This window comes from Homo sapiens, chromosome 10, assembly GCF_000001405.40.
Source record: "Homo sapiens chromosome 10, GRCh38.p14 Primary Assembly".
Lineage (NCBI taxonomy): Eukaryota > Metazoa > Chordata > Mammalia > Primates > Hominidae > Homo > Homo sapiens.
The window spans coordinates 128,262,957-128,287,924 of record NC_000010.11 but is presented as its reverse complement, the minus strand read 5'-3'; the positions used below and the strand labels follow the sequence as shown (position 1 = coordinate 128,287,924).

The 24,968-nt window shown below is 47.0% G+C and overlaps 1 long non-coding RNA gene across 1 annotated transcript in view; it reads right to left on the bottom strand.

Moving 5' to 3' along the window:
• Positions 1-1,975, bottom strand: part of LINC01163 (long intergenic non-protein coding RNA 1163) — a 31,777-nt gene extending 29,802 nt beyond the window's left edge. The window contains exons 1-2 of the long non-coding RNA NR_120619.1: positions 1,900-1,975; positions 412-602 (exon numbers count right to left, since the gene is read on the bottom strand). This is a non-coding gene — a long non-coding RNA (long intergenic non-protein coding RNA 1163). The remainder of the gene's footprint in view (positions 1-411; positions 603-1,899) is intronic.
• Between the last annotated feature and the right edge of the window lie 22,993 nt (positions 1,976-24,968).

The window sequence follows — 24,968 nt, the reverse complement described above, 5'->3', positions numbered from 1 at the left end:
AACCAGATAGAGCTCACAAAACAGGAAAACTATATTGACACAATCCCCAAGATAGAACAGAGAGCGATTTTGATGGGGAGAGGAGCAGAATGCTGAAACTCCTTAATGCTGAGGGTTTATATCAACCCAGAGTACCTTAAACGCATTCGCTCTGGAAAACACCAGATAAAAAGGAGGGCCGAGCTCCCTGCTTTGCAGGGGCACTGGGGGCTTGGCCCAGGCCAAGTTGAGGGCTCTCTCCTCTGAAAGACCAACACAGAATTCTCCTTGGCAAGTGCTGCTGTGGGCTTGCCTGAGCTAATATCGTATGAATAGAGATGTTTCAAATGTATTAAACATTGGTCCCTTTTTTAGAAATTACACTGACAGAGCCTTCCTTAAACATTATTTGAATAAAGCCTCATTACTCACAGTCCAGAGAAGTTCATTAGGAGGAGATCGCTTTGGAAAGGAATCTAGGAGCTCGCCTTTCTTCTCAGCAGTGAATTACATTAGCTACTTCCTAGTTATTTAAATCTTGAAATAAAAGATGTAAACGCTACAGTGACATCTTAAGATCATTGCCAAGGCAGGTCTTGCATGCACAAAAATGCCCAGCTGGTCTGCAGATAAAACAGATTGATAATTAGTTGCAAAATGTAACATTTCATCAAGAATATTTTGAATAATCCAATTTATCTTTGTCAGATATGCAGCACATATTTTTCCGGGGAGCAGCTTTGTTCTTTAACATAATATTATAATTTCAGGCTGCTAATGAAGGCGCCCGCCGGCCGGCCGGGCCTTGATGTGCGGCGTGGCGGGGAGCGCGCCGCGGCCCGGGGACCCGTGCGCCTGAGCGCGCCGCGCCCCGCTGCCGCCACCTGCCCAGCACAGCGCTGGCTGTGGTCTGCGGGCCGCGGGCCGCGGGCGATCAAAGGGCCGGCGGCGGCAGGGAGGGCGCCCCTGGCCGGGCTGTGCGCTGGCCGCCGGCGGGCGGGGGCTCCTCCGACTCCCGCTTCTAATCAACCGATGGAAACGCGCGCTCCCTGCCCGCGACCGCGAAGGCGAAGTCATGGGGTGGGCGCCAGTGCAGGCTGGGGGTGTGGCTGCTGCGTCGCGGGCTTCCCCCGGGGGCGCGTCCGGGTTGCACCCTGCGTGGCCTTCCCCGGAATAGCAAAAGAGATGGGGGGGCCGGGGGGTGAGCGGGAGAAGAGGGACAAGGGTGGCTTGCAGGACTCGGGAGGAGCTGCAGGTACATCTAGAGCTCCGCGGACCCCAGGAGCCAGGAGACAACTACGGCCCAGGTGCTGGTAAAGCCTTGCTGGGGCACTTTGGCACTTTATATAAGGCCTATTGGACACCGATAAGTGAGAGCTGCTTAGCGTTTGTCCGGAGAGCCTCAGCTCCCGGCCCAGGACGGAACCTCCTCTAAGTCCCAGAGCGATCCTAAAGGCTCTCCCAGAGACCTGGGTTAAGATGAGCAAAAACGCCCTCACTCACATCCCCCAGTGACTCCACATCGCCCAGGTTTCACCAAAGACTGGCCCGGAAGAGGGTGTGGCTGGATGGAGGAAAAGTATCCTCACAACTTGGAAAATTCGCTCCCCCTTTCCAAAAGGGGCGTGAAGTTTGGCAAAGCAGAGAAAACTCCAGGAGCAAAGAATGTCTTGATACTGTATGCACACACTATACGTGCACACAGTGTCTCCTATTTTAAATTTACCATTTCAGCTGCGTGTGTGCAAACCTCACACTACTATTATATCCGTGCTGGCGTTGCTTGGTAATATTCGGTATTCTCAAAAACAAATTAAATTCTAGCCCCAAAATTAAAGTTCTTTGTCTCGCAGTTCAGAAATGATAAGAAGAAATGAGTGCTGCTCTCCTAATTGACTGCATTGGAAAAGACAATGCTACCTGTGTTCCAAAATCCTCAGGACAGATCGAGGGCCTCTGGGCATCCAGGCTACAGGCGTTGGTTACCATGCTACCTGGTAAAAAGGGATAAGAGTGAACTTGAGTGCATTCAGAAAATTCAGAATACTTTGGAAAATGAATCTGTTCACAAGACCAAACCGCTTGACTCACTTGAAGACTACCACATAAGCAGGACTTCTCTTTACCGGGTTATTTCTGTTCCTGCAGTCAAGGGCTGCCTTCCCTGTTTTCAAGTACATTACAGTCTCAAGGATCATGGTCAGTACATTAGGCTGAATATATTGACTTGAACCTCTCCCAACACGTGCAGATCTTACAATACATTAGGAACGTAATTCAGCAAAGTGGGTGTGCTCTTGACATGGATCCTGACGGACCAAGCTGCTCCTTCTTGCTTTGACTTCTTCCAGGGTGGTGTTGCAAGCCTTCCTACATGATTATCTACTTTGTGCAGACTCGAAGGTCAGTCTAACATGATCTCTTTTTCAAGCCACCTTTTCCTGGGTAAACTCTGACCGTGTTTGTTTTTTCTGAGCCTCCTAACCGGCTAATGGTCCCCACGAATCCCTCATTTTCTTCTGTCCTCCTCTTCTCCACGGGCTACCTGGACCCCTGGAGCTATAGACCTCCCAGTAACCCTAAAGGATGGCCAGGAGGCCAGTATGCCCTCAGGCTTCCAACCTCTCCCCACCTGACCTGAGCAGCCACCATTCTCTTCTTTGTCCCGCAAGGGACTCCTCTGAGTACCCAGGAGGATAAGGGAAAAAGCATGTCCTGGCCATTGACGTTCTGTGCTGGCTCCTGGAAGTAGCTGATACTCAGCCCCTCTGCAGGACCCTCTTCCTGGCACACAGGCCCTTGGTGACCTAGCCAGGCCCCATGGCCAGATGCATGGGTTCTTCAGAAGTCAACCACCCTGAGCTTCTTTGAAGGAGACCTTCAGAAACACTGGGAAAACCCACTCACTTTATCTCAGGGCTGTTCATGTCAGCCATGTCTTCTCCAAGAGCCAAGAGCTACTTAACAAACCCATGAGAGGGTGGCCCTGCAGCCCTGCCTCCATCTTCAGGACAAGGCAGGGACCCTGAGATGGCCCACCCTGCACCCTCCTCTGTCAAGCATGCACACCCTCGCCACAGCAACGCCACTGTAGAGGGGTCAGCTCTGCCTAACTCCATACTTCACCAGGTTAGGTGACTCTTTGGTGTCCCATGGGCTCAGTCATTGAGCAAACACTCAATGGGCGGGGATTGACCTGACCTGCTCTGTTTTGCTCTGTGGCCAACAGACCCCAGGGAGACACACAAGCTGGCCCAGCCAGCTCCCATTCAGAACCACCCCAACACACACCAGAATGGCACAAACAGGAACCCACTGACCCGCAGGCTCCTGAGATGAGACAGTCACCCTTGCCCAGATCAACAGGCGGAAGAACCACATGCTATCAGCAGGCCCCTGTCCCCAAAAAGCAGACATCAGAGAGCAAGGCATGACTGTTTCCAAGGGGTTTTGCCCAGGAAGGGTGTCCCCTCTGTCTTCCTGTCTGCCTTTCCCCAGTGTCCTGCCCTGCTCGGAAGCCTGCAGAGACTCCACAGCTAGAGGTGGTGTTAAGGTTAAGCTGCACACGGCTGCCCCAGTCACCCTGTCTTCATTGTCTATCCTAGATGAATCCTTGTTTGAGAAGAGCCAGTCTACCCACTGTCCCAGGCTCCCCTACCAGGGAGGGCCTCCTCTCCTCTCTCAGTCAATCCCCATCGTGCCCATTCTTGAAAGCCAGGGTCAAACACTCATCTTCCACACACTTGGGAGTCTCAATACCACCGCATGTGCCCTCAGCACTGGCACACAGCACTTTCAGCTACTCACCATTGCTGACCAGGCACAAGTCTGTCATATAACTTCCTCTGGGGCTCAGAACTTGTAGTGCACACATCCATGCCCAGCCTCTTTCTGTACCCAGTGCAAGCACAGAGCAGCATTCAGTGCACATTCATTAACGTGTCCTTGTCTCTGTCCTCTGAGGCCATTCCTATGGGAGGAGGCCCAGCCTGTAAGTCAGGAGCACTCATGGCGTGTAGAGCCAGGAGGTGCCGAATACAAGTGTGAAGTCTTATGAATCTGCTTGTTGATTGATTGAAACCACTTTGAGATTGGAAATTATTCAAACTGGAGCCTGGCTTAGGGTAGGTGCAGAGACCTTCATCATGGTCATCAGCTCTGGTTGTATGAAAGAGAAAGACAAAGAGACCCAGAGAATGCCTGCAGAATGGGGGACCCCATGACACAGAGCTTGCTCTCCTAAAACACACTGTGCCTATTGCTTCTGGTGGCAGTGCTGCTGCTGTCATGTTACAGGGAGAGTGTCTCAGCTGCTTCTCTGCAATCTCATGACTGTGGTGGAATGGGTCAGGATCAACTCAGCCTTCTGTGTGACCCAGGTATGACCCAGAACCTCAAATACAGTCATGTACCATGCACCACATAGCAATGTTTTGGTCAGTGATGGACCCCGTACACCATGATGGTCCCATAAGATTATAATGCAGCTGCAAAATTCCTATCACCTGGTAACACAGTAACTGTCGCACCAATACACACTAACACGTTATTCATGTGTTTGCAGCGATGCTGGGGCAACTGCACTAGCAGTCATAGCACAGTCTAGCACACGCAGTTATGTACAGGACATAATACATGATAAGAATAATAAATGACTTACGATGCTATACTTTTTATTGTTATTTTAAAGTGTACTCCTACTTTTTTTTTGGGGGGGGGGGACCGAGTCTCCCTCTGTGGCCCAGGCTGGAGTGCAGTGGCACAATCTTAGCTCACTGCAACCTCGGCCTCCCAGGTTCAAGCGATTTTCCTGCCTCAGCCTCCCGAGTAGCTGGGATTATAGGTGCCCACCACCATGCCTGGCTAATTTTTGTGTTTTTAGTAGAGATGGGGTTTCACCATGTTGGACCAGGCTGGTCTCGAACTCCTAATCTCAGGTGATCTGCCTGCCTCGGCCTCCCAAAGTGCTGGGATTACAGGAGTGAGCCACCATGACTGGCCTTTTTTTTTTTTTAAGTTAACTGTGAAACAGCCTCAGGCAAGTCATTAGGAGGCATCCAGAAGAAGGCACTGCTGTCCTGGAAGATGGCATCTCCATGCGTGTTATTGCCCCTGAAGACCTTCCAATGGGACAAGATGTGGAGGTGGGAGACAGGGCTATGGGGCTCCTGACCCGGTGTTGGCCTAGGCTAATGGATGTCTTTGTGTCTTTGTTTTTAACAAAACAGTTTTAAAGTTACAAAAATGTTTAATTTAAAAATAGAAAAATCTTACAGAATAAGGAGATAAAGAAAATGTTTTTGTACAGCTATACAATGTGTTTGTGTTTTAAGCTGTATTACAAGAGTCCAAAAGCTAATAAAAATTTAAAAATGTATAAAGTAAAAAATGTATAGAAACTACAGTAAAAATTTACACTAAGCTTAATTTCTTATTGAAGAAAGAAAAATATTCTTATACATTTAGTGTAGGCTGAGTGTAGAGTGTAAAGTCTACAGTAGCGTATAGTCATGTCCTAGGCCTGCACATTCGCTCACCACTCACTCACTGACTCACCCAGAGCAACTTCCAGTCTCCAATACTGCAAGCCCCATTCATGGTAAGTGCCCTACACAGGTGCACCATTTTATCTGTGTATGATATTTTTACTCTACCTTTTCTACATTTAGCTATGTTTAAATGAATACCATTGTGTCACAACGGCCTGCAGTATTCAGTACAATCGCATATAGTGCCGGCGTGTGGCCCAGGAGCAGCAGGCCATGCGTTTAGCCTAGGTGTGCAGTAGGCTGTGCCATCGAGGCTTATGTAAGTACACTCTGTGATGTTCACACAGCGACTCTGTAGCCTAACAGCGCGTTTCTCAGAATGTATCCCTGTTGTTAAGCAATGCATGACTGTGTAAGATAAATCGGGGTGCATAAAGCCTCAAGGCTTACATGTAACTGCTGGAAGAGGCACCAGCAAGCAAGAGGCAGTGCAGCCGCACAAAGCAGATTAGAAACTGGGGAAGTGCAAACCTAAAGGAGGCTCTGCCACCGCCCTGGGGTAATTGCCCTCTCCCATCACTAGCCGGCGGGTTCCCAGGGTGCAGCGGTGGACCTCCTGTCTCAGCAACCACGGCTGCCAGTATGCGCTGTCTGTAACCATCCCAGGGTAGGGCTGTCCCCTGGCCCCAACTGCTCCCCTGTAGCGTGGGCACCAGGCAGTGCTCAGCAGTGCAGTGAATAAACTGGGAACCCAAGCGCAGGGCCTTTCCCTTCTCTGACCAGATGTAAGTGTGTTTGTGCGTACGAGTGTGTGCATGTGTGTGTAAAAGTGTGCATGTTTCTGTATGAGAGAATGTGTGTGCATGCATGCATGAGTGTACATGTGCATGTGTGTGCACATGTGTGCCTGTGTGAGAGTGTGTGTCTGTGTGTGTGCATGTTTGCCTGCATGTGTGTGTGCATGTGTGTGCACATGTGTGAGCGTGTGTATGTGACAGTATGTTGTGTGTGTGTCAGTGTGCGCACGTATGTGTGCACACACACATATGGGGACAGAAAGTCTCCTTGGCCCATTTTTGTCCCTCCCTTTTGAATGTCAGCTGTGTCCCTGGATCGAAGTTCTTTCCTGGAATCCTCTTCTCAGAGCCCTAATGACTCCCTGTTTTTTACTTCCTATCTTTTTCTCAGGTCCCAGGGATTCATAAAGTTAGGGTTAAATAAATAAAGCCATGGCCCTGGTGTGAGCGTGGGGCAGTCCCCAGTCTGGCCCAAAGCCATCTTTTGTGCCTGGCCTGCAGCAGAGCCTCCCGGCCCTGCCTGGCCTAGACCTACCAGGTTCAGGCAGCTCGGCGCCTTGCCCTGCCCTGCCCCATTTCCTCTGCCCACAAGCCCATCTGCCCTCCTCTCTCTGCCCCTTGCTGTCCTACACAACCTGCAAGTACCACTTCCTCTGAAGGGCTAGCCAAGTGCCCCCAGCAGGAACTCACCTCCCGAGCCGAACTCTGCTCATCCGCTAGTTGGCTCTTAGAGCCAGTCTCCTATTGCAATTATCTGTGGGATTTTCTAAGGCACCCTCACTGGACTGTCAGCTCCTGTGGGCGGAGACCAGGTGCTCTGATTACTTAGCACCCCAGTTCTCAATTAAAACTTGCTGAATACATGCTTCATAAGAGCAAAGCTATGGAATTAACCTAAGTATCCATCAATGGATAATTGGATAAAGAAAATATGATAAATACTACTCAGCCATAAAAAGGAATGAAATCATGTCTTTCCCAGCAACATGGATGGAACTGGAGGCCATTATCTTAGTGAAATAACTCAGAAACGAAATGTCAAATACCTCATGTTCTCACTTATAAGTGGGAGCTAAATAATGTGTACATGTGGGCAGAGAGGATGGAATAGACACTGGAGACTCAGAGAAGTGAGAAGGTGGGAGGGGCGAGGGATGAGAAATCCCCTAGTGGGCAGGATGTGCACTATTTGAGTGACAGACACACTAAAAGCCCAGGCTCCCCCACTATGCAGTATATCCATGTAACACAACTGCACTTATATCCCCCAAATCCATAAAAACTTTAAAATAAAAAAATCTAAAATAGCTTTAAAAGAATTCCTGTATAAATATGTGAATGCATCCAACAAGGAAAGCCTTTAGACACCATTGAAAGGTATCAATAATATTAGGTTTGCATCAAACGATGAACCTCTAGACATTAGGTAGGAAAGAAAAATGAAATATATTTCAATTGATCACAGAAATAGCAATTCACATGAGCTTTGGCATAAAAGTGAACAACTAAGGTGAAAATGATTTTTTAAATGTGAACTAAGGTGAAAATAATTTTTTATTGGGTGCCAAGCAATTTCAACCACAGATCTCCTGGAAAAGTCCAATATAAATACACTAAATAATAAAAAGCCAAGCAAACATTCGCGAAGGTTTCAGTGTTTTCTCTGTTAGGCACGAATTTGCTCAGGACGACAGGATGGTGTGATGCGTCTTCCATGGTCATACGCGGTCCCACAAACCTTTGCTGAGTGAGTGACTGAGTCTCCACAATGGCTGCCTTCCCGGTACAGCATGGATCAAGTGTGTCCAGCAGAAAGGCAGCCCCACACAAGGTGGGTGGGCAGGTGCCACCACGGTCACTTGCTCCGAGGCATCCTCCTTCATCTAAGGTCACAGTCACTGTGTGGTCACCACCCTGAAGACGCCGACATGCACTGGCATTTCTTTACAGAATTGTCCTGCACCCAGCCTACAGCAGACAAGCCCAGGGGCAATGATACAAGGGACAGGTGAGTGTCGAAGGTTCTAGAAAGGCTTCGGAAACATTCGCCTCTAAGGCTGCCCAGGGAACCACCTGGCAAACGGCTCACTGTTCTCCAGTTATCCCAGACCCTGGCCCTCAGCATTTGGCACAGCGACTCCTTAGCTGGAGTGCTTTTCTCCCCAGCTTGCCTTCCAGTAAAGTCCTATTCAGTCTTCAAGGAGAGAAGAGGAAAGGGAGGGACAGAGAAAGGTAACAGTGCTTTTCTCATAGTAGATGCTCAATAAACACTGCTGAACTGAAAGAAAAACTAAATTAGTCCCTTATGACAGAGCCTCCTTGTTCCTCAGTTATATGCAATTCTTATTTGTCTATGTATCTGAGTTTTTATCTTAAATTTTTAAATCTTTATTTTATTTTATTTTATTTTTTTGAGACGGAGTCTCGCTCCGTCTCCCAGGCTGGAGTGCAGTGGCACCGTCTCAGCTCACTGTAAGCTCTGCCTCCCGGATTCACGCCATTCTCCTGCCTGAGCCTCCCGAGTAGCTTTATTAGAAGAAAAATATTCATAAAATTCAGTTATTTTAGAGTAATTTTTTGCTTTTTTTACCTTTTTATTAGAAACTCATTTTTTGTTAATATATTTTTATTTTGGTATTGATTATATTTGTGAGTATTTTCTCTAGGAGAAAGCTATATTAAGAAATGAAAACATTTTAGACTTCCCTGCCTCTGGCCCCAACTACCCAGAAAAAGATCAGACACAAACATCTAGGCTTAAAACTCTAAAAAAGTGGACAATCAAATCTTACATGCAGGAGACCAGAGGAGTTCGTTACTTCATCTGGACCAGGAGCCGGAGAAGAGGGTCCAAGCTTGGGCAACTAGTTACCGAGGAAAGAGGCAAGTCTCGCCCCACCCCCAAGGGTGGAAACCAGCCGGGATGAGCAGCAGCATCGTGGTGGGAGGGTCTTGGGGGCAGGGGCAGTTCCACATGAGGTCTGGTGCCCCCCAAAGAGTGCACAGCTGCAGATGACCAGTCCTTGCCAGGGGCAGGAGAGAGCCCAGATGACCAGCGCTGACACGTGGTAGCCTGGGAAGGGGAACAGGCTCCAGAGTGGGCTAAGCCCCGCTGAGCCTCATGCTGACAAGCCTGTGACCCGTCCCCTTCTCAGGAGTGTCTGCACAAGACTCTTTGTGCTGAAAGAAAAAGGTGATGGCCGAGAGAACTTAGCAGAGAGTGCTAGGTGCCAAATGCCATCACTTTCTGAGCCCCCTGCAGCAGGCAACACTGTTTTCCCTCTTAAAACTCCTTGTATTTTTTCCTTTGGTGTGCCTATCACAACTGGTCATTAATTATGCAATCATTCATTTATTTTATATTCTATCTTTCTCAATCTATTATAAATTCTGAGGGGGCAGAGGACTTGTCTGCTTTATTTTCCTGGCTTTGCACATAGTAGGTTCAGGAAATATTTATTGAATAAAGATACACATCTCCACATTAACTGGTGTGTCACTCAGCTTCCAGAGCTGCAGAGTTGTGCTAGGAAGCCCCAGAGAGGCAATGACAATATCAAGGTTGGGGCAATGCCTCTGCCATCCCAGGGATATGACTCAAATGGAGCGAATCCTTCCCTCTCACGATGCAAACAATTTCAGCAGATTCTCAAGATATAATTTTCCAAACACAAATTAGTATTGCTGTAGACATTGACTCCACAGTTTCTCACACAGATCACTTGACTCTGAAGGATTTCACAAATGAAGAAACTCACAAAGGAAGGAGTTGAAGTAAGTGGCAAAATCCTGCGGGAAAGGTGTTCAGAGACCACTCCCCAGTGGGGTGACAGCGGGCTGCCATCAACAGTGTGGGCCCTCTGGGCTGGAGAGAATTACCCTGACTGCCCGGAATAGTTAGGCCACCACAAATCTCTGCTCATACACAACAGGAATCTGCATAAACAATATATAGACAGCCGCAAACACTGAAATTAAAGAACTGTTTCTTTCTAACAATTTGGTCTGCAGCTCTGACAATTATCTGGGGATAAATCAATTTGCGGCAGCTGTAGACAGCCATTTCCGTGTGAGTCCTGCTCAGCTTAACTGGAGAAGCGTGTTAAAAGTTAAAGGACCTTCATCACATAAAGAACATGAATTTTTCTAACCATAAATTTATTTCACTGAATTCCTGAGCTATAAAGTCACCTTACACTCTTCCTTGTAAATCAGAGGAGGTGTACCCACTTCCTGATGTTTGCCAATTTGCTATTTTTCCTGTAATTAGGAAAAAATGCAATTCGCTAGAGTTACAAGCCCCAACGAGAGTACTGAATTGAGTTGTTTAATATCTGCCTTGACTCAATGCTTTATAAAGAATGGCTCTATAGGGGAGTAAAAGGGCAAAAAGAAATTATTATCTAACACAGGATGATAGGACTGGACGTCAAGCATGATCGTAGTTTTCATCGGCTTGGCTTTGGTCATGCCACATAAATGGATAGTGCCATCAATTTATGGCACCTAGTGGTGGAATAATACAGGGCTGGAAAAATGAAAGCTAATAAAAAATAAAAATTAAAGGTGCCGGGAAGATCTGTCTGCTGTCAGGTATGTGGAAAGAACTCAGATAGGACTATAAGTCAGGCAGATGCCCAGGGTATCAAAACTGATCTCTTTCAGAAGCACAGCCTACTAAACCTTCATAGGCTTGTTTGGTAGAAATTATGAAACAAACAGAACTGACAATAGGAGCAGTTTCCTCAATCTCTAATGGTAACTAGAAAAAGGATCACTTTACTTATGTTCATGTGTAAAATGAAAGTGATTTTTATACATCAGATCTTCTTTTTCGTCTTCCAGAATACATCCTAAATTCTGTTTTGTGGCATATATTGATTTCAATCTTGGGAAGCATTTTTCAGTAAAAATCAGCTGTCTACATAAGGCATTATTACATACTGTGTAAACAGGAGCATGTTATTTCATACTTTGATTACCAATACAGATGCTACTTTATGGAAATTATTTCCATTGTTTTTTGAAAAACATATTGATATCCATAATTAAAATAAATATAAATGAAAAAGATAAAATCAATAAGTGCTTATGTGGCCAAAATAAACCTTCAGCAACGTTTGGTACATGGTAGGTGCTCAATAAGTATTGGAAGGATTACCTTTAAATGAATTGAATCTCAGACTTTTTAAAAAAGGGATGTAATTTTATTTTTAAAAATGGAAAATGCTCCTATTCCCATTCATCTTTGAAAAGCAAAAACAAAAAGCCCCAAAATCCTCAATTATAATCAAGACATAGCAAAAAAGTACACAGGAAAAAAAAGTGCCATTTTGTGGCAAATGAAGCATCCCTGTTATGGGATGTGTTACCCTTCCTCTCGCTCCCCAACTCCGATTTCAGTTCCCCAATAATTTTAAAGGTGAACAAAATGGACCTTTGTATGTAATCATCCTAATGACCCTGGCCTTCATATTTAAAATGTCATTCAGAGATAGTTTCGGGTTGGCAGCTGCTGATGGAAAAGCGTAATAAATAATCCTACTTCCATTTGCACACAAGCCCTGCATGCAGAATCTGCTCGAAGTGCATTTCCAGCAGAACACCTTGGGACCCACTATTGGAATGCCACCCCATTCGACGCCAGGCACCCGCTCATCAGCTTCCAGGAGGGAGTGAAGAGCAGCTAGCCCAATTGGAGCTACCAGGGAATTTAGGAAGACAGAATGTAATTACCTGAACTGGAAGCCGGCCAAGGCACTGGGGCTGTTCAAAAAAAAAAAAAAGTCAAGGAAAAAAATACCCTTAATTCTCCTAGCTGATAACAAAAGCCAAATGTGGGCTTTCTTTCTGTTTATGACTCGGCACCATGGGGTGTTTAAATCATCACCAAACAATAAATAAAAATAAAACTTCAAATTTCTAGCAGGCCCCTTCCAGGACACACACCACTGCTCACTGCAGACTCCTTTGTCCATGTGTGGAGTGGGTGCCGTGGCGGCCGATGGCAGGTTCATTTCCTTTCCCTTTCTCGCTCAGAGCTCGACAGCGGGTTCTGCCCACTGGCCGACCATGTCACTCTCTCCAAAAAGCAGAAACCTTATCAGACGCCACCGGGCGGAGGTCAGATATTGTTTCAACCATTTGCAGAGCTCATTTTTTTTCCTTTGAAAACTGGGCTTCATTCTGATGTAATGAAGTGAATAAAATAATAATAATGCACCAGGGATATAAAATTTTATAGAGACCTTTTGCGGGGAAGCCTTGTGGTTTTTGTTTTGTGTTTTTTTTTCCAAGAGGAAAGACATGGGGAAAGGAGGATGGAGAGAGAGAAATTTGCCTCAGAAGGACTGGAGGTCGTCTACATGCTGAAAATATTAATCAGTTGGCTACAGAACCCACTGGAGAGGACGTGGCGCCAATAACGTCCGCAAGCGTGCGAGGATGGTTTCCTCAGGAAGATCTGTCATGCTCTTAACTTCATAAAAAGCAGAGGCGCTGTTGCGGCTGATTCAGAAGACTTGCACAGCTCTTGGCTTCCCTCCCTGCCAGAGCACAGTCAACTGCTAATGACCCGCTCCTCTCATAATTGCACAAGTTGTCAACATGAAAATTCCAGTTAAGCTTATGGCTTGTGGTTTTCCCTGGAAGGGAAAACAAAGGAGTCCAACATGACACCTCAAACTTTTGGGGGGAAATACATGGCCCAGTAGACCAGAGTTATCCTAGTAAAACCTATTACACAAAGAAGTCCAGTCTACTAATTCATTTTTAAACTGGAAAGGCCATTTCTTTTACATCCTGAAAACAGTAGACTCCAATAAAACTAAAGTGGAAAATTTACTATTTCATCTGATTACCTACATTTCCATAATGTTGAAAATCTCAATCATTTCAGAAATAGTTTTTTTTTTTTTTGCTTTTTTCTCGGCAACCTATCTGCACATTACTTTTAAAGAGAAAAAAATATGATGTCCATAAATTCTAAGTGTGAAACAAATGGGGGATGGGGAAGGAACAAAAGCAGAAAAACTAGGAGCTGTCTAAGGCATCCCTGTGAATGCACGCTTTGGCTTATTTCCAATGCAAGGAATGCCCATAATAACTAGATTAACCCCCCAATCCTCATTGTTCAATTTTGCACAACTATAATTATTTCTATGATCCTTGATTGGATTAGTTTAGAATTTTAAAGCAAAATGCCTTTACTAATATGTTTCTATTTCTACAAATCTATGTTTAGTAAAACAGGAAAAAGCAGGTTTCACTCTCAGCTTAGAGTCTGACTGCTTACTTGTTTAGGGGGTGTGATATTTTGGTAAGCTTTGGTGAACTCTTGCTGTTGCTGAGTGAACACAGTTGAGATCCACTGGGAAGGGAATGGTGACCTCTTTCACGGGTTGTACAGGCAAAGTGGGGATCAGAGGAAAGAAGCCTCTGAATTTTTTCTGATTCGTCTGAAGAGCTGCTGCTTCCTGGACTCTGCCACCCTCCTTCGGACTTGAATCTTTAGGAAATGGAACACTCACACCCACAGCCATGACATTTGTTTTCCAATTGGTATATAAAGTACCTAGCCCAGCACAGCCACTGATAGCACTGGCTTCTTCTTGCCTTTGCCCCTCCGGGGTGTGTTTTTGGTGTTTTGGGGTATGTCTTCTTTTCCAGACATAAGAGCCCCAAACATGGGTGACCCCAATGACACAGACCTCTCCCCACTTGTGTGAAATGAGCAGCAAATGAATCTAACAGACACCCCAATCCACGCCAACTCCCATAAAATCAGGGTGTGAAGCATGGGGGAGAGAGGGATTCTTATTAATAATTCATTCTGAGCAACCCCCTGGAGCAGTTTCACTATGATATGCTATGCAGAATGCTTCAACACACTAATTAATATTTTCAAAGTGTTCCATGGGCCCCTTTTAAAAGCATTTTTGCCATCCATTGAATGTTCTGCATTATAAGTAAAAGATCAATGCTGTCCCCCAATCCTATTCGTGTGCTGTCTAACTAAAATAGGACATTTGGAGTCAACATAATTTTTTTTTCTCCTTTTAATATCCTTCCTCAAGTGTTGGGCTGGAAACCGGCTTCTCTTCTGAGACCAGCTGTTCTTCCCAATGGTAGCAGAAAGACACAGGCCAGGGAGTCATCCACGTGAACTGCCCTGAGCATGGCGTCGCCCCTGCCTCTTATCGCTCAGCCTAATGCCAGGGACAAAGACTTGAAGGAGAGGGTCAGGTTCCTTCCAAGGCAAGTGTCCCCAGGAGTGGTGGCAGGAAGATCACTCAGAAAGGGGCCTTAGCCCAGAGCTCCACGGGGCCTCGGCTCTACCTTGCAGCTGAGCTTCTGATGGACAGACAAACACAAGCAGGAGACCCGGGGTAGCCCCAGCACTCCCGGGAGCTGACCACTGTTCAGAGACAAGACCTCCCCTGCGCAAGACCATCAGGGATGGAGGCTGCATCCAGACTCTCCTGGAGCTCCTGCCCCTCAGTATAGTTTAGGGTATGAAGGCTCATCTGCTTGCTTGAGGACCAGACTGGCCAATTGTTACCTTTCACGGGCAGAAGCTGCCATGATCTCTCCAAATGATACCTCAGCTTCACTGACTCTGGCCACACAGCCAGCAGAGGTGGTTAGAAGTTTAGAACCCCAAAGGCTTGTCCCCTCAGAGGGCAGCAGACGGTCACTCTCCATGTGCTGATCTCAATGATTCTTCCTAAATGTTACCTGGAAACTATTTCTCAATTCAAATCAATGGTGCCTATTGATCCTGGCAATTTAAAGAATAGGAAAGGAGTAACTTTTGCCCTTTACTCTCTTGCACTCAAGAAAGTGATTTAGAGAGTCGAATAGGTCCACTTGGAAATAACCACTGGACAACGTAAAGAATGATCCCACCCAGGAGGCCTGCAGCGTGGTCCCTGAGGGCTCTCGGGGACCCATGAACAGGTTCCCTTCCCTCCCTTCCCAGGCCCGGGGGCCACGCTGCCCTCTGCCAGCTGAAGGGCAGAGCCCCCAGGGAGCACAGTGTCATTGGGATTATTTTCTCATGGACGTGGAATCCATGTAACATAATATTAACCATGTTAAAGTGTGCGGCTCAGTGGCACTGCTTACATTCTCAATGTTGTGCAACTGTCACTCCAAACATTGTCATCACCCCTGAGTAAAACGCTGGGCGCAGGAAGCTGACCCTTTCCCGTCCCTACAACCCTTGACAACTATTCATCCGCTCTCGGTCTCTATGGATTTGCCTATTTTGGATGTTTCATATAAATGGAGTCATACAATTTGCAGCCTTTTGTGTCTGACTTCTTTCACTTAGCACAATGTTTCAGAGGTTCATCCATATTGCAGCACGTACGAGTGCTTTATTCCTTTTTACAGCCGAATAATATTCCATTGTATGAATATACTGTTTTTTGTTATCCATTTATCTGTTGATAAACATTTGGGTTGTTTCCACCTTTTGGCTATTGTGAATAGTTCTCCTGTGGACATTTGTGTACAAATATCTGTTTTATTTTTAATTATTTGAGGGCATATACCTAGCAGTGGAATTGCTAGGTCATATGGTCATCCTATGTTTAACTTTGTGAGGAGTTGCTGGAGATTCTGAGGTAGCTCTGCTCTGTGAACAAGTGCTCCTCTGGGCAGATGGGGCTTGCCAGGGGCAGTGAGGAGAGGTGAAAGACTCTGTGTTGCTTATATGCCATTGAGAGGTTTATAGGTGATTCTCTCAAAGAAGTGAGTCCCCCAGATACACATGTAACTCCCAACCGCATAATTCCAAGTGACTTTTTTTTAGTAAAGCTGAGGAAAAGAGGAGAGAAATTAATGTAACTCCTCTGGGATTAAACTTATGTTATCAACAGTTTCAGATACAAATTCCCCACCCTGACATATAAGATCCTTCACAATGGACCTATACAGCCCTCAGCTTCCTTCCTTCCAGACCACCCAGACACCCTTGCAGACCCACCGGACATAACCACTCACAGATCTCTAATCCCCTATTCGCTGACCTTAGGCATTTGCAAATGCTGTTGCCTGTTCCAAAATGCTTTTCCCTTCTCTGCCCCGAACTCACACCTCAAAAATCCCTACAAATCCTTCTTACAATATACACTTAAGACCCAACTTCATCCATTAACCACCCCTGACCACCCCAGATACCGTCCTTCTCCCTTGGACTCCTAACCCATCATGTGGGAGATTCCATGGACTAGAATCACTATGTAACCCTTAGTATGTCCTGCATTCTGGAGGACAGTGTAACCTCCCTGAGGGCAGGGGCCATGTCCGATACACTTTGTATTCCCATAGCACATAGATCAGTATCCTACACATTGTAAAAGGCCAAGAAATTCCTCTCGATTATTGGTTAGGAAGAAGTGGAAATCAGAACCAAAAATCATGAAACAGCAAAGTTTGAAAAGGACCTCAGCAATGATGTACTTCGACCTCTTGTGGTAGCAGTGACTGTGGACATATAACCCTTTAGCAGGGCAGAGGCACAGCTGGAAGAGTCCAGGCCTCTGAACTTCCCACCCTGTACACTTTGTAGAAATAAGGCTCTGAGAAGGTCTGCACTCATGAAATCAATTCAAATGCATTTGACTTGTGCTTCCCAAAATATACTGCGTTATGGAAAACTCCCACTTGACCGCAGACACCTTCTAATACCTTGGAGCAGTAATGCTCTGCAAACACAATTAAGGCAAAGCTAGTTGAATGTTATCTGTAATAACATAGAACAAAGTAGTCAAACCAGAAGGTAAAATTATGCAGTTTGACAACAGTGTATTTGGGCTGAATATCATTTCTAGTTGGTCAAGTGAAGTTGATTATAAAACTAATAGAGAAACTCTGGAGAGATAATTGCATGACATTCTTGAAGGTTAAAAATTTTCTATTGGATTGGAAAAGGGGCTAATGGAGTCTAAGCCAGAATCCTAATCATCAAAACGAAGCTTTTGTAAATTCAACTGTTGCTTTTCAGATGAGAAAACTGAGACTCAGGGCACAGATGTGCCCAAGATGTTCCAGGCAGCAAGACCAGAGCTGGGCTCTCTTTACCTCTTCATCGTGGTAACACAGACTGGGAACATGGGCTTGGAACCTCAGGAGGCTGACCAGAGTTCAGGGATGCAGGAGGTCAAACCTCAAGACTCAGCATCCAGATTGTGTTTGAGCCTGAGAGGCAGGTTACCAGGAAGGCAGTGCCACCTCCTTTCCACGGCTATGCCTTCTTCAGGCCTCATTTGGAGACACCAGGTTATGAAAAAGAAGACAACATCTACACCCCTATCCAAACCAGTAATACAGACCCTTGCAAGAGACGATCAATGAGTGATGACAGAAGGAGTCAATTTCACCTTTCAGAGTAGGGGTGCAGTTAACATTCAGAGCAGGAAGGAGAGCAGACTGGACCTGCCTGGTTCTGCCATGACCTTGCTGCTCTATCCTCACCCCTTACACCCTGTCCTCCTGGATCCTTCTATCGAACAGAACCCACCCACCATGGAGTCTGCCCTAGCAGTAGCAGAGGTGATTTTAAGAGCACCAAGTGGCCGGGCGCGGTGGCTCACACCTGTAATCCCAGCACTTTGGGAGGCCGAGGCGGGCGGATCACGAGGTCAGGAGATTAAGACCATCCTGGCTAACACGGTGAAACCCCGTCTCTACTAAAAATACAAAAAAATTCGCCGGGCATGGTGGCAGGCACCTGTGGTCCCAGCTACTTGGGAGGCTGAGGCAGGAGAATGGCGTGAACCCAGGAGGCGGAGCTTGCAGTGAGCTGAGATTGTGCCACTGCACTCCAGCCTGGGCGACAGAGCAAGACTCTGTCTGAAAAAAAAAAAAACACCAAGTGAGTCAGGGTTCCCCTCAGAAACTGACAGGGTGGTCGGGCTCCGACAAGAGCTTTAGCCACAGCACTTGCTTACATAGCAAGAGCCACACAAGTTGGCTTACAGTGGGCCTCAGTTTCCACTAATTCACTCCACATGGGTCTCTAAAAGATGTGGGTCCCTATTGTGCCTTGGGAGGAGGCCCTGGATACCAGAGGAACTCGAGGGCAGAATGATTTCTGAGGCCAGGCTGGTAACATTCCAGTAAATATCAGAGATGGAAAGGGGAGGAAGGTGCATTGCCAGCGCTTGCCCTGTGCAAAGCACCATGCACCTGCCCAGCTGCATCTTGGAGGGCATTTATCATCCTATTGACTGGTAAGCTCAGAGAGGTTAAGCAACATATGCAAGGTCAAGCAGCAAGCAGGTAGTGGGCCCATATTAGAACCCAGATCCATGGAGCTCTACAGCCACAGCTGGGTCCAGTGTCCGCTACTGTCTTAGAGAGCACTGGGCGGCGGGGAGCTCTTCAAACTGCCCACCTTTGTGGCCTGATATATACATGTATGTACAAATATGTACACAGTCATGTGTGTGTATATGTGTGTAATATGCCGAAATAAAGTTTCAAGACACAGCTCTTATTCTTACTACATGCTATGAATTCTCACATTTTCTTACCTGTTCACTTTCATTGTGGGACCCACGATTTGAAACATGAGTTGGTCCTCCACCTTCTTTAACAGAAGCTGAACTGAGGTCCTGCTGAGCAGTGGACACCGGGCACTCTGACCCATCCCCCTTGCCTCCATGGCCTGGGTTCCTGGGTTCCTAATCCCCCCAGGTCCTCCAGGTCATCAGAAATCCCTTCACTTTGAATCTTGAGTCACAAGATGGATGATTTGTCACAAGGGGCTGACCTGACCCCACTGCTTTCCAGCGCACCTGGCTCTGGCCCTGGCGGGTCCCCTCCCTCAGAGGTTCACAGGCAGACAGGTGGCTAATCATGTCTGGGGTGACCACATGCAAGAGGCCACTCTCTCCTGCCTGCATTTGGTCCTGGTAAGGCCTCCAAGGAAAGGGCGCAGATGTGCTCAGTGTCCTAGCCCACTGGAGAGGACCAGGGATCTTTCCAGACTCCCAGAGGCCTCTCTATGCCCTCCCCTTCGCTAGCACAGCTCTGAACCAGCATCAGGTAAGCAAATGCAGGACCCTCCCTCAGACCGGGGCCGCACAGCAGGACGCAGCCCCTTTGCCTGAGCGGTCCGGTGGTGTCTGGCAGGTCAGAGCCGCTCTGTGCCCCACCTGCTTCCTTCTTCCCTGTTCAGGAAACAAAGCTCGAGAGTCCAGCTGCACGGGGGACTCCGTGAGGACCCCACGGGCAATTCCTAAGTTGGAAAGCAGCAGCTCAGAAGGGCAGCGGGGTCTCTGGGAGTCCTGATTGCCCAGGGGGAGAGCAAGGCTGGACTCCCTCCATCACGCTGAGGGCACCAGGAAAGAAGGCCCTCACTTTCCTGCCTCTTCCCGCCTGCTCTGCAGCCTCTCCAGGAGGAACCCTCGGGGTGGAGCGGCGCATTCACTGCACTGAGCCCCCGACTCTTTTTAAAGCTTAAGAGCGCCATCTTGTGCATGACAGGAGCAACCGCGGGACACCAGTTTCCCAGCGGCTGAGCAGAGGGAGCTGCCTTCCCTCCTTTCTTTCCTTCTTTCTTTCTCTCACTCAGTGAGGCTTCGTGGCCTCTGCAGGGTCCCCTGCAGCCAGAATGTTCTCCGGCTTGAGGTGGGGCATGCAAGACTGTCCCCACCACCCCCTCCTGGGTGGCTTTGCTTTGTGTCCACCCGGCGGGTCTGCAGCAGGGGTGGCCTGTTCCTTGCTCCCCACCACCGACCCCACCCCCAACCCCCCACCTTGGACTCCAGAAGGTCTGCACTGTGGTAAAGAAAACAAGAGGCAGTGAGTGAATGAGAGAAAGAAGGAAGAGAAGGAAGGAGAGAGGAAAGGAAGGAGGAGGAAGGGAGGGAGGAAAGAAAGGAAAGAGGGAGGAAAAGAAAGAAAGGGAAGAGAAGGGGAAAGAACAAAACGAGGGAAATGAAAACATCGTCTGCACTTGGCTTTCATTCAGAATGTTCTGTGGGTACAGAAAATGTGGTCCCTCTGGGGACTGACACAGATAAAGGAAAACACTGAAAAGTACCCCAAGTCTCCACCTGGCTTGTTTGGGTGAACGGGTCCCCTCAGAGCCTCAGTTTCCCTATCGGTAAAATGAGAAACTTGGGGGGTCATCAGATTCCACCCCGGTGACCTCCTGACGCTGCTTTCACCCTCCAGCACACCAAGCCTCCAGACCTCGCTGCTAGGCTCACAAAAATGCCTGCTTTGGGCCGGGCGCGGTGGCTCACGTCTGTAATCCCAGCACTTTGGGAGGCCGAGGTGGGCGGATCACGAGGTCAGGAGATTGAAACCATCATGGCTAACACGGTGAAATCCCGTCTCTACTAAACATACAAAAAATTAGCCTGGCGTGGTGGTGGGCGCCTGTAGTCCCAGCTACTTGGGAGGCTGAGGCAGGAGAATGGCATGAACCCAGGAAGCAGAGCTTGCAGTGAGCCGAGTTCGTGCCACTGCATTCCAGCCTGGGCGACAGAGTGAGACTCCGTCTCAGACAAAAAAAAAAAAAAAAATGCCTGCTTTGAATTTCAACTTTTTTCCTCTCTGAATTCTAGATTACAATGTTTTCAAGTAGGAAAAAAAAAAAAAGCAGAAAAGAAGAAACCAAAGGAGAAGGACTGAGGGTCCAAATGGTTTTGTAACCAGATGAGGATCTTCATCTCTCTTTTGAAATAAAAATGTAAGGAAAACATCAGTTATGGTACAGGGAAACCAAATACTGCAGAGAGAGAGAGGGAGAGGGCAGCTGTCTCCATCCGGCTGGCTGTGGTCACTTTACTGACACACAAAACCATCCACACCCCAGCTCACCCCAAAGTTTTGGGGGTGGAATAAGGGCATATTGATCAGTTACAGGCAATAGATGGAAAGGCCGTACCCCCACGAAGTTTATCATTGTTTATCAAAAGCCTAAATAATAATAATATCCACTCGCATATGCACATCTATTTCTAAGGTCTTGGAGGGCAAAGGCCTTGTATTTGATTCCTAACTTTCTTGCTTCCATGAGAACCCAGGGATATGAAGGGATTTTTGTCTAAGGTCATGCTGAGAAGAGAATAGCCAGGAATCCTGGCTCCAGTCTCTGCCCTCATCTCCTGTCTTATAAAGTACACATAAAAGGTACAATTATGAGAAATGAGCCCATTTTGTCATGAAATTCCATATCATATCATTGCTCAGGTATTGAAAACAAGCCCAACCTGGGCTGAAGCAGACGTGGGTATTCATGGGGTCCTGTAGTCCTTCCATAATTTAAATGCTACAATGGAGTCCTGAGGTCTAACAAAACAGTATACAGTAAGTCCCCATTTGCAGCAGATTGGTTAAATGGGTGTTTTTTTAATGCAAATTAGTTCAAATTGCTATCAAGAGTAATTATTGTAAAAGAAAGGCGGTGTTTCCATCATCCTTCCCTCATTTCGTTCTTCTATAGTCTCTTTTAAATAACTTAGCCATAAAATTTCAATTGACCACTAAAAAAAAAAAAAAGAAAAGAAAAGAAAAGTGGTGCAATCAGCGGCAGAGAGAAAAGGGTGAAAGAGGTAGAAGGAGGGCCGGCCCCCACAGAGTGAGGGTCCTCACCAGCCCCCTGGCGGAGCCTCCCAGGACCCCCGGTCCTAGATGCCAGCGACCCCGCGCCCCACCGTTCGTGGGCCCCCCGCCCCCCCAACCCGGATCAATCTCTCCCCTCTACCCCGCGCCCCCCGCAGGTCTCTGAGATGTGCGGCTGCCCCGCGGGGCGACTTCCCACGCGCTCCCCTCTGCTATGGTCGGCGGTTCCTCCAGAAGATGGGAAAAAGAGGCCGAGTCCCCACGATGCGCCCCCAGTCGCCAAGGCGCGCGCCCCTTTTCCCCGGCCGCGCAGGTCCGCTGCTGGAGCCAATGCATTATAATAATATTAGGTAAAACAGCGCGAGCATACGAGGTGGAAAATTGCATCTCTTTTGTTCTAAATTTGCCAACGTCTAAATCTTAAGGGAGGTATTTTTATTTTACATATTTGTTAATGGGATCTGTTTCTTATTGCCCAAAAATGCTTAATATACAAAAGGAATCAGATTCTCTTTCTGGCCTTAATTCATCATAACAAACAGAAATAGAAACTTGATTTCAAATTTCGCTCTGCCTCGCATCTCCAATTCATATTCGCGGCACATCCATCATTAATAGCGTCTAGAGGAGCCCTTTTATTTACCTATTATGGCATCGTTTGTAACATAAAACTGTTGTGTTCTCTTTTCATTAACAGATTCAGTTGCAAATGCTGGGGAAAAAAATTACAAAGAGCCCCTTTTTAAAATGTGCACATTTATTGGGATTATTAAATCACAGCAGCTAATAGTGGTTGTCACCAACTTAATTTAAAAAGTTGATTATTACTCAAGCCCTATGTATTCCAGGCCTGATACTGTATAATTAGCAGTTGTGATTATTTAGTTAATTTGTAGATTAGGAACAAGTGTCTGTTTTGAAAAATGTGGCACTCGACCTTCAGACACAGAGAGGGACGAGCCAGCCCCTCTTACCAGGGACAAAAGTATTCTGTCAGAAAAATGCATTTTGATGCAGGTCAACAGGAAAAAGGGGACATTTTACAGATCATCTGCCTGCATCTTTCCAGCCAAAAGTCCAGTGCAAAAGCCACTCCAGAAGTGTTTAAATTAGGTGCCTCCCTGGTGGGGCCAAATCAAATCAAATGGCACACTCGGAGCCTAAACAAGTTAAAAGATGGTCCTTGTGGGTAGGAGCCACTAAAGCCATAGTAACTAGACAAAAACATCCTAGTGACCCTCGCTCAATAGAGATTCGGCCATTAAGACTGGTCCAAGGTGGAGAGCCACTGGACTTGGGAACAGACCCCATCTCTTATGCATTATTTCTATTGCCACTTTGTCATCAGTCATATGATGGTAATAAAATTTGTAACTGTTTCCCTTATACTCCCTGCGATTTACCTCATCTAATAGACAATGCAAATGCTAAAAGGCACATATACATCTTCATTATATAAGCCGGTGTCTGAGCCACTCTCCTCCAGAGACAGTTTTATTCATTTTTATACAATTTGCCTACTGTACAGTACAGATGGTTTCTATTAAGTAAAATATCTGTTTTCTTCCAAATTTTTAGTTTTCATGATTAAATTACTTTAAAATGATGGTACATTGTATTATCTTCTTTCATGACTTAATTTAGCTCAAATACTCCCAGCATAAACTGTAAGCCCAGCTTTATCCACTCAGAAAATCGGCCACATACTGTGATTTTCTGAGGGTTATTTCACCCTGACTGTGATTCCTATTCTGTATCAATTACTTTCGTTCGAGTCTTAACTATATGGATTATTTTCTGGAGATAAATTTGAATATGAATATAAATGGAAATTTTGGACTAATATTAAAATAAGATTTCTTCCCTAAGCTGTTTACAATTTGAGACATTGTTTGTCATTGTTAGTATGCAAGTTTTGCATGCTGGTGTCTCAGCCACAGAGTGGCTTGCAATTCGAAATATTCAAAACTGCTGCCCCCAAGTGGCGGGTCCTTGAGCCGTTTTCCCTTTCCAGCCTTGCTGCATGCACAGTCTGAATTTTGAAGTGGCTGCGTGCACGCTCCTATTTCAGCAGGAAGGAGAGCTTGAAGGTGCAGTCTGTAGCCCATCTTCCCACAGCCGGGATCATTCTCTGGATCTCGGCTCTACTGAACGTTGAGAGCTCATTTCTGAAGGCTTGGAACCATCAGCCTACTTGTCTCACTGTATTAGTGTGATACTAGGCAAATGTGGCCCTGGGAATTTCTCCCTTTTTTAACATTTCGCATATTCATATTTTATTTTTGCACTCACGCTTTCTAACTTTTCCCACTGGAATGCTGCCTGCAGCCAGGTCCAGTGCTGCTGGCTCCTGCCCTCACCGGCTTTTCTCAAACTTGCTCACTTCCCACCAGCCTCAATAGCCCCAGACCTTGAACACAAACCCTCCTGCACTCAAGCAAAAACACAAGGAAGGGAAAATTGCAACATTTCCAGGAGGAAAAGCAGTTTATGCTCAGGAAAGGAAGGGAGCCACCAGCAGTAGGAGAAGAAGAAGAGGGACAGAGGAGGAGAGGGGTCCTGGGCAGTCCAGCTGGAAACGGACTTCACAGCACAGTCTGGGTTCTAGAACGAGCCCGAGGAGCCCTTGCAATTTGCTCTGCAGAAGCCTGCCAAGGCTGGGAGCTGGAGGTGGCCCTCTGGAATTGATGGGTCCACCATGGGCCCTCACCTTGGAGCTCCCTCAGAGCTGTGGGGGCTGATTCCCATCACACCTTCTTTCTGTCTCTCCCTGACACCAGCTGCAGTGGCAGTGGGGCCAGAAAGACCAGAAAGTGTCTCAGTGAGTCCCCAAAGCACATGGCATGACACAGTCCTTCCAGACGTGAGGGTAGAGGAAGACCGGAGAGACTCCAGTTCTAGTCCCAGCTCCCACCTGCGACCCCAGGCAGGCCAATTAACCTATCTGGGGCTCCCTGTCTGGGGGATGTTATGAAGATCAAATGAAATAATAGGCCTGGAGAGGCTTTGAAACAGTTCAAAGTGTCTGACAGACATAAGGCATGATTTTGACTCTGAGGTTCACCTTAGGCTCATCACCAGAGCAGATCCCAGAACTGCACAGCCCGCCCCAGACCAA